Source organism: Homo sapiens, chromosome 1, assembly GCF_000001405.40.
Source record: "Homo sapiens chromosome 1, GRCh38.p14 Primary Assembly".
NCBI classification, from domain to species: Eukaryota; Metazoa; Chordata; class Mammalia; order Primates; family Hominidae; genus Homo; species Homo sapiens.
This window is the reverse complement of record NC_000001.11, coordinates 52982130-53001476: the sequence shown is the minus strand read 5'-3', so window position 1 is coordinate 53001476 and position 19347 is coordinate 52982130. Positions and strand designations below refer to the sequence as shown.

Sequence of the window (19347 nt, the reverse complement as noted above, 5' to 3'; positions counted from 1 at the left end):
GAGAAAATAACAAAGGTAGAGTTTGTATAGGCAAGAAGGAATTAAACCTGTTTGGTAAAAGCAAACAGTTTGGTTTAAACATGCTTCCTCTTTGTGCATCTCCTTCCCCAAAACTCAAGTAGATAGAAATGCTGGCAAAACACCAGGCATGTGATGGGATTTAGCAAATCTTCATGACCCTGCCATCCTCCTTTCCCTTTTTCTCCTCTTCATACTTCTGCTTTGTACTTCTTCTACAGCACATTCTGCCTTGTATTATAATTACTTATTTAAATATATAAGTATTTGTGTTCTTGTATTATCTGCCTCTTATACACTTCCTGAGACTAGTAGTTACCTTGTATATCCTAACCCTAGCCCTCAAATCTGGCTATGCATGAGAAGCTCTGGCGGAACTTTAAAAAAATATAAATTGTTTAGGACCAACCCAGACCCAAGAAAATGTCTAAGGGTAGGACAGGAACATACATATAGAGAGAGAGAACATATGTAATATATATATATAATTTTTTTCTTTTTTTGGAGACAAAGTCTGGCTCTACCACACAGGTTGGAGTGTAGTGGCATGATCTCAGCTCACTGCAACCTCTGCCTACTGGGCTCAAGCTACCCTCCCACCTCAGGCTCCCGAGTAGCTGGGACTACAGGTATGCACCATCAGGCCCGGCTAATTTTTGCATTTTGTAGAGACAGGGTTTCACCATCTTGCCCAGGTTGGTCTCGAACTCCTGAGCTCAAGCGATCTGCCCGCCTCAGCCTCCCAAAATGCTGGGATTACAGGCATAAGCCACCACACTCAGGCAAGAACATATACTTTTAAAAGCTTCAGGAGGCTCCGAATTGGTCTATGAGTAGACCTCGTATTTCACAGCCCTACAGTACCTAATGATGAGGTGGGTGCACAATAAGTCACTACTGAACTGATGTTGACTGAATAACAGAAGATCAGGACCTAACACTAGGTTGAAGCCTATGGAAAGGCACAGAGGCCTTTCTAAAAGGCCTAAAAGGCCAGGCTGAACTACGACAAAAGGCCAAACTAAAAAAACCCACTTCTAGCTTCAAAGCAATCAATAATCCTTTGTCAAGAGCTTTATCTCAAAGGCACTTTCATGTCCTTTCAGTAGATTACAGACATTAATATGGATTTTTTAAAAAGTAGAGATAGCTAAGAATAAACTAAAGCCAAATTTTACTTATTCTTTCTTTTTTTTTTTTTTTTTTGGTAGAAACTAGGGTCTCGCTTTGTTGCCCAGGCTGGTCTCAAACTCCTGGCTTCAAGCTATCCTCCTGCCTTGGCCTCACAAAGTGCTGGGATTATGGGCATGAGCCACCATGTCCAACATTTATTCATTTAAAACAAGTGACCAGGCCGGGTGTGACAGCTCACGCCTGTAATCCCAGCACTTTGGAAGGTGGATCACTTGAGGTCAGTAGTTCGAGGCCAGCCTGGCCAACATAGTGAAACCCCAGCTCTACTAAAAATACAAAAATTAGCCGGGCATGGTGACAGGTCCCTGTAATCCCAGCTACTCCGGAGGTTGAGGCAGAAGAATCACTTGAACCTGGGAGGCAGAGGTTGCAATGAGCTGAGATCATGCCACTGTACTCCAGCCTGGGCAACAGAGTAAGACTCTGTCTCAAAAAAAAAAAAAAAAAAACAAGTGTTCAGTAAGTGTTGGATAGTATATGTAAAAGCACTTTGAAAACTGGAATAAAATATGACATTATTACCTGAACACTAATGTGTTTTTTGTCATACGATCACTGCAAAGTAATCAAAAAAAGTTCAAGTTTAATGTAATTTTCCTGAATGGAAATCTAAAAGGAATTAATGTTTTTAAACTAACAATGAACAAAAGAATACTCAATTCAAATGCTGAAAACTACAATTTTCTTTTACTATTGATACTGTTATGGCAGGTAGAAACTTTCATCCAGATCTAAACAAAATCAGAAACCAGTATCATGAAGCTTTAATTTTTAAAGCTAATTCCCCAATACTGAGTTCCCAACCAAAGTAGCACTGCCTTACAATTAAATTAACACCATTTACAGAAGAGAATCTTACACCCTCATCACTAGTCTTAACATATTTTGGAACTTCGCTTGACCATTTTCTGAATCTCTTAGAATTCTATTGCAGTTTGTTATCCAAGTAACTAGAGAAAAAATGTTTAAGCTACTCATAACTGTCATTGTGATATAAATTCAATAAGTCTGAATTCTGTCTTGGGGCACATTACAGCTAATGGCCATGTGCCAGATTTCCTCGAAGTATATCCAAATCCTCAATATGTAGCAAGGAAACATTTACTTTTCAATAATTCCTCATCCCTATTCAGACTACCACTCAAGTCATCAAGATTCATAATTTTTTTCCCAAAAAATGCTATACCATCACTAGACATAATATCTCAAAGATTAATGATAAAAGGAAAAATTTACCAACAGTGTAGACTCAAATGTTAGAAAGGGTTATCAAAGGATACTGCAGATTTCCTGAGGTATCTCTTTGAATGCGAGTCTCTCTTTGAATATTTAAAAATTGAGTAAATTCTATCTTCCTGGGGTGTTTTAGGTTACCTGTTCAGTACCCAGGGAAGAAAAACAGATGACCTGTCAAGACTGGCAAAATTTTTAACATTTGAGGAAAAAATCCAATATTAACAAGACTGAAGGAAAAGAGGCAGTCTCATACTCTGCTGTTGGAAATATACGCCGATAACAATCTTTTCTGAAGAAAATTTGGCAATCTGCACTGATTTTTAAATGTATACTACCCTTTGACACAATGATTCCACTGTTTGAAATTTATCCTATGGATATACCTGCAAAAGTATGGACAGACACAGGTAGCTGGGACCACAGACGTGCGCCACCACGCCTGACTAATTTTTGTATTTTTTGTAGAGATGGGGTTTCACCATGTTGCCCAGGCCGGTCTCAAACTCCTGGGCTCAAGCAATCCCCCTACCTCGGCCTCTTGGGTAGCTGAGACTACAGGTGCATGCTATTGCTCCCAGTTAATTTTTTAATATTTTGTAGAGACAAAGTCTTGCTTTGCTGCCCAGGCCGGTCTCAAATTCCTGGCTTCAAGCAATCCTCCCACCTCAGCCTCCCAAAGTGCTGGGATTACAGGCGTGAGCTACTGCACCTGGCCTTTTTGACAGTTACTCATATAGATCTGTCCTATGACCCAGAAATTTTGCTCCAGGTTATCAACCCAAGATAAATAAAAATATATGTCTCCAAATAGACTTGTATACAAACATTCATAGCAATTTTATTCATGCAGCCCTAAACAGGAAACAATTCAAATATCCATCCACAGGACAATGGATAAGCAAACTGATATATTTCAACAATAGAATACTACTTGGCAATAAAAAAGAACTACTGATAAAAAGAAAAACTTGTATTAATTTTATAATCTGCTGAGTGAAAGAAGCCAAACACAAAAGAATACATACATGTGCTGTATGATTCCATTTATATGAAGTTCTAGGATCAGCAAAACTAATCTATCACGAGAGAAGTCAAACATCTCAGCCTGGTGGTGGTGGAGAGTGAGAGAGAAATGTTTCAGGGAGGCCAGAGGATTGACTGGAAATAGACAGGCTAGAACTTTTGGGGGTAATGAAAATGTTTTTGATCTGGTTTTGGCTGGTTGCTACCTGGATGTATATAATTTTCAAAAACAATTATCGATTTAAAGTATATAATTCAGTGGTTTTTAGTGTATTCACAGAGTTGTGCAACTAGCACCACAATCAATTTTAGGACATTTTCATCATCTCAAAAAGAAACTCCACACATACCCTTCAGTTATCTCTCTCCTGTGTTCCCTAGTCCTAAGCAACCACTAATCTATTTTCTGTCTCTATGGATTTGCCTATTCTGGACATGTCATAAAAATGGAATTTAAAAATGTTTTCAAGGTTCATCTATATTGTAGCATATTTCGGTACCTCATTCCTTTCATGGCCAAAAAATATTCCATAGTATAAATATACCACATTTTGGCCGGACACAGTGGCTCACATCTGGAAGGCCGAGGAGGGTGGATCATTTGAGGTCAGGAGTTTGAGACCAGCCTGGCCAACATAATGAAACCCTGTCTCTACTAAAAATACAAAAATTAGCTGGGCATGGTGGCAGGTGCCTGTAATCCCACATACTCAGGAGGCTGAGGCAGGAGAATCACTTGAACCAGGGAGGCAGAAGTTGCAATGAGCCAAGATCGCATCACTGCACTCTAACCTCGGGGACAGAGTGAGACTGTCTGGAAAAAAATCTAAAAAAATAAAAATAAATATACCACATTTTGCTCATCAGTTGATGATAGACATCTGGCTTGTTTCCAGCTTTTGACTATTATGAATAATGCTGCTGTAAACATCAGTGTACACATTTTTGTGAGAACTGTGCATTTTTTTTTCCAATTCACATTTATTTTTGGCTCTTGGAGCAATGTCACATTTTCAATATGAAAAAAGGCAGCAAGTTCAAAATAGAAATCTGTAGTGTAGGATAGAACAAAACCAAGTGTAAGTGGGAAAAAAGCAACAGCAAAAGGAAGATAGGAGATGTTGCAAAAAAGATGGAGGAGGGTTCCCCTTCCCTCTGGGGAATGACTCAAACACTGATGTGGCAGTATATACTATCCCACATAAAGTCAGGGATGTTAATCCTTTTTGGGGGTTAAGAAAAGGTGGAGATTAGGAGGGCATTTCTGGAGGCCTAGGGACCAAGGCTGATCTCTTTCCCCCCTTGATCCCCTTCTCTAATCAGGGGAAAGGGAGGAATTCAATATATGAGAGAGGTAGAGCCAGAGAGGGAAAGATTCCACTTGACAGAGTGGGGCAGACCTCTCCAAAGGGCAGAGCTTGGAGGGAGACTGAAAATGGAGAAAATACTGCTAACACCTCTCTTGAAGCTGAGAAATGGAAAATAGAAATACCTGGAAATTATGACTTTAATAGCCTGGATTTCCCTCTCCAAAACTTTTAGGATGGAAAATCCCATCCCCTTCCTTGCAGTGACTTCTACCTGCCACCTTCTACCATCTTTCGCTTTGGGCTTAGGATGGTGGCCATTATCCACATGGGCTTTCAAAACCCAGTTGGTTCTAAATGAGATCTGGATGAGACCCAGCTTCTTGGAGATTTTAAAAAGGAGGAAATATTAACTGGACAGATGGAAGGGATGGGCACCAGAAGGAAATACAGGGTCACCCAGAGTGGCAGAAACCTAGGCTTCCCAGAGTGGAAAGAGAAAGGAAACATTCAACAGACAAATACTTATTGAGTGCCTACTACGTGCTAAGCACTGTTCTAGATCTAGATTTGTGTTTCAGGCAGCAAACACAAATTCTGAGGTAGAGAAAAGGGGCAGGTGAGTAAGATGGCTAAGGGAACTGAGAAGCCTGAGGCGATGGGGGCTCTGCCTTAGGCCTCCTCTTCAGCCTCCTCACCAAAATCCTCCTCCTCTTCTGTGGTGGCATCCTGGTACTGCTGATACTCAGAGACGAGGTCGTTCATGTTGCTCTCAGCCTTGTTGAACTCTCGTCTCATCCATGCCCTCAGCTGTGTACCAGTGGAGGAAGGCCTTCCAGGGGAACATGGCAGTGAACTGCTCCAAGATGCACCTGAAGAGCTCCTGGATGGCCGTGCTGCTGCCGATTAAGGTGACCGCCATCTTGAAGCCATGAGGTGGGATGTCACAGACAGCTGTCTTGATGTTGTTGGGGATCCACTCCACAAAGTAGCTGCTGTTCTGGTTCTGCACGTTGAGCAACTGCTCATGGACATCCATCCACAAAGACAGCAGCCACGGTGAGATATAAGCTGTGGCAGGGGTCTCATTATGTTCTTGGCATTGAAATCCTACCTGATGAGTTTGGGCACTGTGAAAGCTCGATGCTGCTAGCTTCCACAGCTGGTGAGAGGGCAAAGCCAGCCATGAAGTAGTGGAGATGTGGTAAGGGCACCAGTTTGACTGCCAACTTGCGGAGGTCAGCATTGAGCTGGCCAGGGAAGTGGAGACAGGTGGTAACACTGCTTGTGGTGGCTGAGACAAGGTGGTTCAAGTCCCCATAGTTTGGTGTGGTCAGCTTCAAAGTGCGGGAGCAGATGTCATAGAGGGCCTCATTGTCAATGCAGTAGGTCTCATCAGTGTTCTCTACCGACTGATGGATGGAGAGGGTGATGTTGTAGGGCTCGACCACGGTGTCAGACACTTTGGGTGGAGGCACCACACTGAGGGTGTTCATGATGCAATCAGGGCACTCTTCTCGGATCTTGCTGATAAAGAGAGTACCCATTCCAGAGCCCATTGAGTGGGTCAGCTGCAAGCCCTGCAGGCAGTCACAGCTCTCTTACTCCTCCTGCACCACATCTACAACTGAATCAACCAGCTTGGCCCCCTCTATGTAGTGGCCTTTGGCCCAGTTGTTGCCTGCCCCAGATTGACCAAAAACAAAGTTGTCTGGTTTAAGCACCTGGCCAAAAGGGCCTGAGCTAGCAGAGTCCATGGTCCCAGGTTCTAGATCCACCAGGTTAGCACAAGGAACATATTTGCCATCTATGGCTTCACTGTAGTACATGGAGACACAGTCCAGCTGCAGGTCGCTGTCCCCATGTTAGGTGCTGGTGGGGTCGATTTCACGTTCATCACTGATCACATCCCAGCACTTGGCACCCATCCGGTTGCCACACTGACAGGCCTGGATGTGCACGATTTCCCTCATGGTTAAAATTTATTTTAATTTTTTTGCTCGCCTCAAGGTATGCATGGGGCAAGAAAATATGTAACTTTTTTTCTCTGCTAGTTGCAGGCTGAAAGGATGGAATGCACCCCAGAGGCTAGAGCAGCAAGGTGCAAATGTGGCAGCAGGAAGGTTCTGAGAGGCAGAACTGTGCATTTTATTGTATAAAAATTAGATCTAAATTTTAATAACAAATATAGATATGAAAAATTATATTGTTACTATAAAGCATGATTTCTGAGTATTTCAGTGGATGGCATGACAAAAATATCTAATAATGGCAATCAAGCAAATTATAATAAAAACATGCTATTTCAGAAGAGAAAAAAGTTGTATGTCAACAAGAACAACTAAAATGAAATATCATATTCATCTCCTAATGAAACAGAGGTTTCCTATATGCGTAAGGAAGCTGTCTGAAAGGAGGATTTAAGTCACTTCTTTACACACAAACTACAGCATAACTCTTAAAGGCTTCAGTGACCATACCACAGGAATATTTATTATCATCCAGACATCTCCATGTCCCATTAGCAACAAAATCAACACTGAAGTATGATCTAATTCTTTTGAGGAATAAAGAAAACAGTTTAGTCTATTTACCAAAGGCAGAAAATAGTTTTAAAATAATGTCTGTGTAGCATTGGGCACAACATTTACATACAGATACGGTACCTTGAGGGTGTCACGCTAGAAAACAAATTTTCTTTACAAATTAAAGAACAGACACTTGATGTATTTGTATTTCTATTAAAACTGCAATTGATGGCTACCGATAAAAGCTAGTATAGGGCTGAAGATTTGCAGTGGTGTCCTCTCCAAAACATAGCTTAGGAATACTATCATATGATTACTAATGTTGTATAAATGCATGAGAATGACAGATACCAAATTCAGGATATTGATTACCTCTTGGTGCTGGGGGAGGAGAGAGGGGAATATTATTGAGGAGGCATGCAGGAGTCTTCAATCATATTACAAATGTTTTGTTTCCTAAGTTGGGAGTCCTATTTTGTAACGGATTATGATCCAACCAATGAAGATTCTTACACAAAGCAGTGTGTGATAGATGACAGAGCAGCCCGGCTAGATATTTTGGATACAGCAGGACAAGAAGAGCTTGGAGCCATGAGAGAACAGTATATGAGGACTGGCGAGGGCTTCCTGTTGGTCTTTTCAGTCACAGATAGAGGCAGTTTTGAAGAAATCTATAAGTTTCAAAGACAGATTCTCAGAGTAAAGGATCGTGATGAGTTCCCAATGATTTTAATTGGTAATAAAGCAGATCTGGATCATCAAAGACAGGTAACACAGGAAGAAGGACGGCAGTTAGCACGGCAACTTAAGGTAACATACATGGAGGCATCAGCAAAGATTAGGATGAATGTAGATCAAGCTTTCCATGAACTTGTCCGGGTTATCAGGAAATTTCAAGAGCAGGAATGTCCTCCTTCACCAGAACCAACACGGAAAGAAAAAGACAAGAAAGGCTGCCATTGTGTCATTTTCTAGAATCCCTTCAGTTTTAGCTACCAACTGCCAGGAAAAGCCCTCATCTTCTCTTCCTCTCCTCAGTTTACATCTTGTTGGTACCTTTCTAGCCTTAGACAAATGATCACCATGTTAGCCTTAGACCAAGAAGCTGGCTAGTCCTTTCTGTGAAGCTAATACAATGGTCATTTCCAGACAAACTTAAAGGAAACACTAAGGCTGCTTCAAAGATTATCTGATTCCTTTAAAATATATGTCTATATACACAGACATGCTCTTTTTTTAAGTGCTTACATTTTAATAGAGATGAATCAGTTTTGGAATCTAAGCTGTTTGCCAAGCTGAAGCTACAGGTTGTGAAATAATTTTTAACTTTTGGAATCACACTGCCTACTGTTACTCTAAATAGAAATATAGGGTTTTTTTAATGTGAATTTTTGCCTATCTTTAAACATTTCAATGTCAGCCTTTGTTAACCTTAAATACACTGAATTGAATCTACAAAAGTGAACCATCTCAGACCTTTACTTATACTACAACTTTTGTTTTCTGGTGGCCAAAATACCAAATGCCTATTGTATTTATGGATTAAAAACTGCTCATAAAAGCCTGTGTTACTGCTCCTACTCTTGAAGATGGTAATATTCTACGTGGTCAAATATTTGGACTCATTTAGGACTTAGATATTTGAGTGTACTTGGTTTTTTAATTTAACTCTTTTTCACAGCCACGCTAAGGGTAAAAAGGAATAATTTCTGTCTGTCTTCCTTTTCAAGTATTTCTGGGTAAGGGATTCAAAAAACTAAAACTGTTTTTGTTTGTAATATAAAATATGGAATTGATCTTTCTGGGGTCAGAGATGATTAATGTTTTTGCTATATACTTTTATACATTATTTTCTTATCAAACTAGTTAACAAATATTTTTATATGTTTGTAAGCAGATACGCTTTCATAGCATACCTTGTGTATATGTAAAGATAAGTATTTAATTCTCACTGTTCACTTTTAACTGACAAAGAAAAACAAGTGGAAACTACAGAAACTGTGGTAGAACTTTTACTTGCTGGTCTGGTCTTGGTTGTACCCATCTTTGGCCAGTCACACATCTACTCAAGAAACCTTCCCAACAGAGTACAACAGGATGAGACTCTGAAATCACTTTCAGTATTCCCTGCTAGATATTGATTGTTATTTCAAGTATTAAGTGTAAGCTTTTAATGGATAATTAGTATAACTGTGGATGGCATCTGATTTTGTTTTTAATTCTGTGGATTGTATTTAAGCAATTCAATAGTATGTTCCTGATTTTGAGATGCTAAGTGGTATTGCACGGTTGTCACTTTATCAAGTGTGTACAACAGTCCCATGAAGTTTATAGAGCATACCCTTGTATAGCTTCAGGTACTAGAATTAAAATTGATCTGTTATCACAAAAAAAAAAACCAAATTAAAGAACATTCTTTTCCAAAAATGGTTAAAAATTATTTTTCATACTGTGATAAAAACAAGAGGTTTGGGCTGGGCGTGGTGGTTCATGCCTGTAATCCCAGCACTTTGGGAGGCCGAGGCAGGCAGATCACAAGGTCAGGAGTTCAAGACCAGCCTGACCAACCTGGTGAAACCCTGTCTCCACTAAAAATACAAAAATTAGCTGGGCGTGGTGGCACATGCCCATAATCCCGGCTACTTGGGAGGCTGAGGCAGAAGAATCGCTTGAACCTGGGAGGCGGAGGTTGCAGTGAGCCAAGATCGCGCTACTGCGCTCCAGCCTGGGCGACAAAGCAAGACTCCGTTTCAAGGAAAAAAAAAAGAAAAAAGAAAAAAAAAACAAGAGGTTTATTACTGGCAAACAAACAAACAAGAACCAGTTAAGCAGATCCATCATGGCTCCCTTTTGTAGTTGGGAAGGGAATTCTGGAAGTTATTGTGTTCCTACTCTTTTTGGGGGACTCTACTATATACTTTACATACATATATTTCCTCACTTAATCCACAGAACAGCCTTATAAGGTAGGTACTATATTCCCATTTTATAGATAAGAAACTAGGATTAACTGGCTAAGCTACATACTAAAGAGAGTGAAGAGGCTAGGTTCAAACCCAAGACTTCATTCATACAGAACACGTACCTATAATTCAGGTACATCCCTTACATATATATCACTTTCCATTCATAGCCACTATTTCTAAAAGTGTACCTGCACTATTATTGCCACTTTCTCACTTATAATTCTTTCTGAATCTCATCTGCTTCCATGCAAAACACTTCTTCAAAATTGCTCCAAGATTGCCAACGACTTTGTAACAGCCAAATCTGAAGGACACTTTTCATTCTTTATCTATCTAACTTTTGTGGCCTAATCTCTTACTTTTGAAACACTCTCCTTCCTTGGCTAACTGAGCATTCCCTCTCATTATTCTTAAATGGTTCTTCTTCTCCACCTATACCTTTAATTTTTTTTTTTTTTTTTTTTTTTTTTTGAGACGGAGTCTCACTCTGTCGTCCAGGCTGGAGTGCAGTGGCATGATCTCGGCTCACTGCAGGCTCCGCCTCCCGGGTTCACGCCATTCTCCTGCCTCAGCCTCCCAAGTAGCTGGGACTGCAGGCGCCCGCCACCACGCCTGGCTAACTTTTTGTATTTTTAGTAGAGACGGTGTTTCACTGCGTTAGCCAGGATGGTCTTGATCTCCTGACCCACCGTGCCTGGTTGTCTTTTTTATAATTTCTATTTATTAATATTCTCTACCTGGAGAAACATTGTTCTCATACTTTCCTTTAGTTCTTTATATATGGTTTCCTTTAATATATTTAAAATAGCTAGTTAAAGTCTTTGTCTAGTAAGTCCAATGTTTTGGCTTCCTCAGGGATAGTCTCTATTGACTGCTTTTTTTCCTAGGTACATAGGTCACCCTTTATTGTTTATCTGCATGTCTTTCTTTTTTTTTGTTGAAAACTGGACATTTTAAATAATGTAGCTTCTCTAAAAATCAAATCCTCCTCTTTCCCAGTTTGTTGTTGTTGTTGTTGCTGTTTATTGTTGTGGTTGTTTATTTAGTGACTTTTCCAAGCTAATTCTATAAAGTCTGTAATCTTTGTCCCACATGGCCACTGAATTTTCTCTTCCCTCAGCTACTGACTGGACAGAGATGTCCTTAAATGACTGAACTAAAAAGTCTCCTGGTCTTTACTGGACCTCTACCTGCATAATGTGGTACTCAGCCAGGCAGTTTACAATTCTACCTTAGCCTTTGCCTTTTGCTTGTGCAGAGCCCCAAGTTTAGCCAGAGGTGAGCTTAGGACCTTCTCAGGTCTTTCCTGAGCATGCACACAACTCTGACCTTATATACGCCATTAGGCTTCTAGATTCTCAGGAACATATCAGATCTTTTCAAAGCCCCCTATGGACATCCTACTCCCCAACTTTTCCTTTTTTTTGGTTATTTTGTTGTTTACCCCAATTGGCACCTGAGGTAGCTACTTTGTTGAACAGTTGTGGCTGATTTTTCTCGACAATTGCCTCTAGGGAAAATACTCTTTGCACTGGGTGAGTTTTCAGTGAGGTGAAATAAAGACAAAGCTTTCAAGTGGGGTTTACCAGGACACTGTCAGACAGGTCATATAATGACAGTTCTCTAAGGAAGGGGCTTTGAAAGAGCTCCAACTCTGTTCTGACTTGCTCAGTGCCAGCTAGGCTGCTAATTTTCACCATGACTGCAAGCTGTAGGTTTTCAAGGCTACAGTGGAGCTGCAGAAAGAGGGAGGTGTTAAGGCAGGTGAAAATGCCACAAAGCTCGTTGCTCTCACAGAGATTATGTTCTTTGTTGTTGTTTTAAGCACCCCCCACCTCCACTCCCAACAGATTGTTGTAAATCTGGTTAATTTTTAAAGTTATGGAAAAAGTTGATCTTGACAATTTTTGCCAGAGTTCTCCGAACTTTTATAAAGGACAGGATTTTTGGATGTTGTTATTTTGCCACTTCCCATAACATCACTGATCATCCCCATAATTCTTAGATTTCTTTGAAAGATATTAGATTGTTTAAAGCAACAATAATAATAGTATATTGTGAGGGTTATAATATACTTAGGAATAAGTGTATGGAAACAATAACACAAAAGATAGGAGAAGGTAAATAGATAGGCAGCTGTAAAAATCTTACGTTATATACAAAATGGCATAACACTATTTGAAGGTAGACTGTGATATATTAAAAATGCATGTTGTGGCCGTGTGTGGCCCATGCCGGTAATCCCAGCACTCTGGGAGGCTGAGGCAGGTGGATCACTTGAGGTCAGGAGTTCAAGACCAGCCTGGCCAACATGGTGAAACTCCATCTCTACTAAAAAAAAAAATACAAAAATTAGCTGGGCATGGTGGCACAAGCCTGTAGTCCCAGCTACTCAGGAGGCTAAGGCAGGAGAATGGCTTGAACCCGGGAGGCAGGGGCTGCAATGAGCCGAAATTGTGCCACTTCTTTCCAGCCTGGGCAACAGAGCGAGACTCCATCTCAAAAAAAAAAAAAAAGAAAAGAAAGAAAGAAAAAAGGAATTGCATGGTGAGGTTTGGGCTTAATTTTTTATTTAAAAAAACAGAAACCACATTGTACAAGTTTGTCATTTTATAATTAAGGAATTAAAAGTTAAAGTGATTGACTGATAAAAATAGTTTCACACGGCCAGCCAGTCAACAGCAGAGCCATAGTAAAATTCTTACTTTATAAATTCTAGTCCAGTTGTCTCAAGAGAAAATAATTTCCATGCAATGTCAACCATGTATACAACTACATATAAATAACATGCTCATTTCAAATGATTCTTATTTAGCAGGTCTAGTAAGATCTCTATTTGGAAACATCCTGAATTTAGTTTTAATTAATTCAAATTCTCATCAATTAATGAAGATTATTTAAGTGTGCTCTACTTAATGGAACATCAAAAATATTGAAGCTAAACAATCATTTAAAGCACCAGCTACCAAGTTCAGAGAATATAATCTTTCATTCAAATGAAAGACTAACTCATTCACACTTAAGGAAAAAATGATTTTAAAATGTATGAAATCTGTATGTAGCATTACCTGTAGCGCCTAGTGGGTGTCCCTTTGAAATCAGTCCACCACTAGGATTTATGACCCACTTTCCTCCATATGTATTATCTCCTCTATCAACCAGCGTTGCACCTTGTCCTATAGAAGAAAAAATAGTATTCACAAATATTAATAGTAACAATAGAACAAATGATATGCTTTTATAAGATTTCCATATAGCCAAGAATTTCTTGGAGCAAATATTTCTTAACAGTTCAAACTAACAATAATTTGACATAAGCACTTTTAAAAGTAATAAATACTTACATTTTCAGAACATTTCCTGTATGAAACAAAAGCTCCTATTAGTTCCTTAGAGCTCTCTGACTTCCAAAATTGCTCTAAATATGGTAGAGATTCAGAGAACTAGGAGAATAGAACTGAAATGGATATAATGCTATAACTAAAATAACTGTCAGCTTTAAAAATGCATAATTTTGCCAAAATGTGTTCTTTTCTATTTTCATCTGTACTGCTATATACTATATAAGTATTTTTAATAAATATGGAAAAACAGGAGAAAAAAGGCACTTTCATAAAATGAAGAGAAATGTCTGAAAACACTGTTGAGCCACAAAAGTAAGGTTAAAGAAAAAATTACTTCACATGCTTGGTGGCTTCAATGTTCCTGTCAATTTCCTGGTCATTTGGTCATTCTTCCAGATGCTTAAGAAGTAAATAAAAATGGATGTATTGTATAAAATTGTCTTCCACATCTATTTACGATAAAGTAATAAGATGTGGACGCTCCAAATAATGATAGTAATGATGGTGGCAATGCTGTCAAAGGTAGCTAATAGCTTTGAGCACTCACTCTGGGTCAGCTCTTGTTCTAATTATTTTCTGTATATATAGTCAGCATCCATGGGTTCCACATCATGGATTCAACCATCCACAAATCAAAAATATTCAGAAGAGGCAGGGCACCATGGCTGATGCCTGTAATCCCAGAACTTTGGGAGGCCGAGGCAGGTAGATCACCTGAGGTCAGGAGTTCGAGACCAGCCTGGCCAACATGGTGAAACCCCATCTCTACTAAAAATACAAAAATTAGCCAGGCATGGTGGTGCACCCCTGGGCGACAAGAGCAAAACTCTGTCTCAAAAAAAAAAAAAAAAAAATATATATATATATATATATACAGAAGAAAAAAATTACAAAAAGCAAAACTTCAATTTGTATGTGCTGAGTACTACATTGAATCCATGTGAATGAAGTGATATGTAGTTATTATACGTAATCTAGAGATTATTTAAAATATACAGGAGGGTGTGCATAGGTTATATGCAAAAATTATGCCATTTTATATAAGCAGCTTCCATGGATTTTGGTATCTGTGGGAGGTCTTAGAAAAAAAACCCCACAGATACTGAGTGATGACTATTTATAAAATTTAATATTCAATCCTATGAAGTAGGTGCTATCATTCTCATTTCCTAGATGAGAAAACAGACAGAGATATTAAGAAATCAACCAAGGCAACAGCAAGAGATCTAGGATTAATACTCAGGGAGCCTGGCTCCACAGCCTGTGTTCTCAGCTAATATATTATATTGCCTTCAAAAACAAAAGTTCCTCTGTTGGTAAAATGAAATACACTAATCACAGGATTTTAGATGACTGACACTTCTAATTTGGCTTTAAATCTAGGTTATAGATAAAACCATTGGCTAAGGCATTCTCTCTTTTATTTTTTGGTATGTTTCTACCTTGGAAATTGCTCTGAGGCTCTAGTCATAAGAGATAAATCTATCTACTATTGCTACTTACAAACTGCTAAATATTGTTTCTGTAGCAAGTAATAGCAAACTAAACACAAGCTAACCCCTAAAAGTGAATAATTCACTACACTTTTCCTATAATATATACAATCTTGTAAAGTATTAAAAGATTCCAAAGGGAAGTTATCTTGAACTCATCAACTAAAAATATTCAGAGATTAAAGTACTGTAAATGAACGCTCTCCCCTAGCATAGATAGGAAAACAAATGCATACGCTTTTGGAAAACAATTATTATACCTGTTCTGTACCAAAAACTAAACTAGGAACTTATGGATACAATAGTGAACCAAACGAAAATCCCTACTATCATGGAGTTTAAGTTATGTGGGGAGAGGGGTGAGGAAAAGACAGACAATATATAAAATAAGTAAAGAAATATGTAAAGTGGTGATAAATGCCAAGGGAAAAAAGAAAGCAGGGAAAGGGTATAGGACACATTGAGACAAGGAAGATGGAGGTGAGTGGTTTATATTTCAAACAAAGTGATCGGAGAAGGCTTCCACTGAGAAGGACATTAGTCAAAGACCTGAAGGGAGTGAGAGAGCAAATCATGTATGTTTGGAACAAAGGCCCTGAAACAGGAGCGAGCTTCCAGTGCTTGAAGAAGGAAGCCAATGTGGCTGCAGCAGAGTAGAAGATTCAGAGAAAAGCAGAGGAAGTCAGAGATGGGAGTGGGGAGTAAGGAGGACAGATCATATTTGGCTTGTTCGTCTGAGTGAGTTGAGAAACTACTGGGTTTTGAATGAATTAATGAACTGATTTGCTGCACATTCTAGCTTCAGTCTGGAGAGACAAGGCAGAAGCACGGGACCAGCCATAAGACTCCAACAATAATATAAATGAGAAACGATGCTGTTCTGCACTAGGCTGGCAGTGACAAAAGTGGTGAGATGTGGTCATATTCTGGATTTATTTTGAAGGTAGAGTCCATAGCCAACAGGACTTAGAGATAGATTTAATGATGATTGTGAGAGAGAGAAAAGAATTCAAGCCTGATGGTTTCCAGTTTAAGCAACAGGAGGATGGGGAAGACTGAGGGAGGAGAAAGTTTGAAAAATATCCATAGCTCAATTTTGGACTTAGGTTTGAGATGCTTATGAGACATCCAAAGAAACCCCTAAAAAGTAGGCAGCTGGATTCTTGAGTCTAGAGGTTGGAGAAGCAGTTCAAGCAAGGAGTATAAGTTTGAAAGTAATCATTTTGGCCAGGCCTGGTGGCTCACACCTGTAATCCCAGCACTTTGGGAGGCTGGGGTGGGTGGATCACCTGAGGTCAGGAGTTCGAGACCAGCCTGACCAACATGGTGAAATCCCGTCTCTACTAAAAAATATGCAAAAATTAGCCGGGCGTGGTGGTGTACCCCTGTAATCCCAGCTACTCGGGAGGCTGAGGCAGGAGAATCGCCTGAACCTGAGAAGGGGAGGTTGCAGTGAGCTGAGATCTCACCATTGTACTCCAGCCTGGGCAGCAAGAGCAAAACTGTCTCGGAAAAAAAAAAAAAGAAGAAAAGCTGGGTGTGGTGGCTCACACCTATAATCCCAGCACTTTGGGAGGCCAAGGCGGGCAGATCACCTGAGGTCAGGAGTTCGAGACCAGCCTGGCCAACATGGTGAAACCCCGTCTCTACTAAAAATACAAAATTAGCTGGGCATGGTGGCGCATGCCTGCAATCCCAGCTACTCGGGAGGCTGAGGCAGGAGAATCACTTGAACCCAGGTAGCGGAGGTTGTGGTGAGCTGAGATAGCGCCACTGCACTCCAGCCTGGGCAACAAGAGAGAAACTCCATCTCAAAGAAAAAAAAAAAAAAGAAAGTAATCATTTTATATCTGTATCTACATAAAATATTTAACTTTTAGATTAAGTTCCATATTAGGCAGAATATGTTCACTACAGTTTATCTCTTGCATTGATTACAACTGAAAACACTGGATATAAAAATAAAAATAAAAAAAACTGCCTGAGGACTCTGAAAAGTAAATAAAAGCAGGGGGATTATAGAGCAAGTCAAAACTTGGAGAAGCCACTGCATAAGGGTGAGGTCCTGGTTGTCTTTTTTTCTTTTTAGGCTCTCTCTCTCTCAACAGCTTTGCCCCAAGGTTGAGCACAGCCCTGGAACAGCATGGCAGCAGAAACAGCAAAGGTAGCTAAAACTCTAACAGAAACCCCATCTTCCTAACCAAAGGAACTAGGAAAAGAAATCTCTGCAGGCTGGAGAGTAAGGGAAGAAGTCTATAGTGGAGAGAGCCAGAGAAGAGGATCCCCTAATTCTGTGTATAGACCTGTACAAGTCTCAGGCTTACTCTGACGTAGGCATACATTTAGAGAGCTGAGCAAAGACTTTAACCACCACCCTCAGAAGGCAAGACAGAACTTATTGTCAGAACATACTGGCTTAAATGCTTGCTAAAACAAAAACATCAACATTCTCCAAAGGATCTATATAATAGGACATTCACCCTGTCCAGGATACAATCCAAAATTGTTTGCTATACAAAGAATCAGAAAATGTAACCAATACTCTCAAGGTAAAAGACAATCAACAGATGCAAAACCCAAGAAAGCCCAGATTATGGAATTATTAAAGACTTTAAAACAGCTGTTAGAACTACAAGGTAAAGAAAGCCCACTAGAAATGAACAAAAAGATGTAAGCTCTCAGCAGAGAAATAGAAACTATAAAATGAACCAAATGGAAATTTTAGAACTGAAAATACAATATTTGAAATAGAAAACTCATTAGAATGGTTCATGAGTAGAAAGAACATGAAGGAAGAGTCAGTGAATTTAAAGATATATCAACATAAATTATCAAATGTGAAGAACAGAGAGAAAAGGGGATTCAAAGTGAACAGTTTCAGGGACCTATGGGACAATATCCAAAGGTCTAATATATGCATCATTGGAAGTCCAGAAGAAGAGGAGGAAAAAATTGGGACAGAACATACATTTAAAGAAATAATGGCTGAAAACTTGCCAAATTTGGTAAAAGTTTTGCATTTTCAGACTTAAGAAACTCAGAAAACACAACAGAGAATAAATTAAAAGAAAACCATGCCTAGACATTACACAATCAAACTGCTAAAAATCTTGAGAATAGCTAGAGAAAAATGGCCCATCACATACAGAGAAACAACAATTTGAATGACCATGACTCCTCGTTAGAAACTATGGCGGTCAGAAGACTGAAACAACATGTTTTAAGTGCTAAAAGACCTGTCAACCTAGAATTCTATAATCAGCCCAGAGTTCCTTTAGGAATTAAGGTTAAGCAAAGACATTTTCAGTTGAAGGAAAACTAAGAGAATTCATCTCCAAAAGATCTGCTTTATAAAAAATGCTACAAAAAGTTCCTTAGGCTAAAGAAAATGATTACAGAGAAAAACTTGGGTGTTCAAGAATGAAGAGCAACAAAAAATGATAAATATCTGGATAAGTATAAAATACTTTTTCCCTCTTAGTATCTTTAAAATTATGTGTGACATTTTTACCCATGACATATAACAGACATCTAAGTGTATGACTGTTGAAAGCAAAACTTATAATATTATATATTGGGGTTTTCAATGTAAATAGATATAACACATATGACAATTATAACATAAGGGACAGTGTACGGCAAAGGGGAGTCAGTGAATGGACCTATATGGTTGCAAGGCTTCTACATTTTATGTGAAGTGGTACAATATTAACTCAAAGGAGACGCTTAAGGAGGCATACTATAATTCTTATCGCAGTGGTTCTCAACTGGAAGAGTTTTTTGTTTTTTTGTTTTTTTGAGATGGAGTCTCGCTCTGTCACCCAGGCTGGAGTGCAGTGGTATGATATCAGCTCCCTGCAAGCTCCGCCTCCCAGGTTCACGCCATTCTCCTGCCTCAGCCTCCCAAGTAGTTGGGACTACAGGTGCCCAACACCATGCCCGGCTAATTTTTTGTATTTTTAGTAGAGAGGGGGTTTCACCGTGTTAGCCAGGATGGTCTCGATCTCCTGACCTCGTTATCTGCCCGCCTTGGCCTCCCAAAGTGCTGGGATTATAGGCCTGAGCCACCGCGCCCTGCCAACTGGGAGAGATTTTACCCCCCAGAAGACATTTGACAATATTTGAAGACATTTTATGGTTGTTACAACTGTGGGGGGTGGTGCTACTGGCATTTAGTAGGTAAGAGGCAGGGATATTGCTGAATATCCTACCATGCACAAGCTGTATCACAAGAATGA

At 39.5% G+C, this 19347-nt stretch overlaps 1 protein-coding gene and 2 pseudogenes across 12 annotated transcripts in view; 1 reads left to right on the top strand and 2 right to left on the bottom strand.

Annotated features, from left to right (window-relative positions):
* The window catches only part of SCP2 (sterol carrier protein 2), a 124423-nt gene that overhangs the window by 50222 nt on the left and 54854 nt on the right, over positions 1-19347 (bottom strand). For 10 of the 12 annotated variants that reach the window (NM_002979.5, XM_005271103.5, NM_001193600.2 and 7 more), the window contains one exon: positions 13341-13448. In NM_002979.5, the coding sequence (NP_002970.2) occupies positions 13341-13448 (108 nt within the window). Of the gene's footprint in view, positions 1-7244; positions 8220-13340; positions 13449-19347 lie in introns of those variants that run through there. The other 2 variants (NM_001330587.2, NM_001007098.3) reach the window with 1 other exon arrangement.
* TUBBP10 (tubulin beta class I pseudogene 10) lies at positions 5160-6911 on the bottom strand (annotated as a pseudogene).
* On the top strand, positions 7774-9695 carry RRAS2P1 (RRAS2 pseudogene 1; annotated as a pseudogene).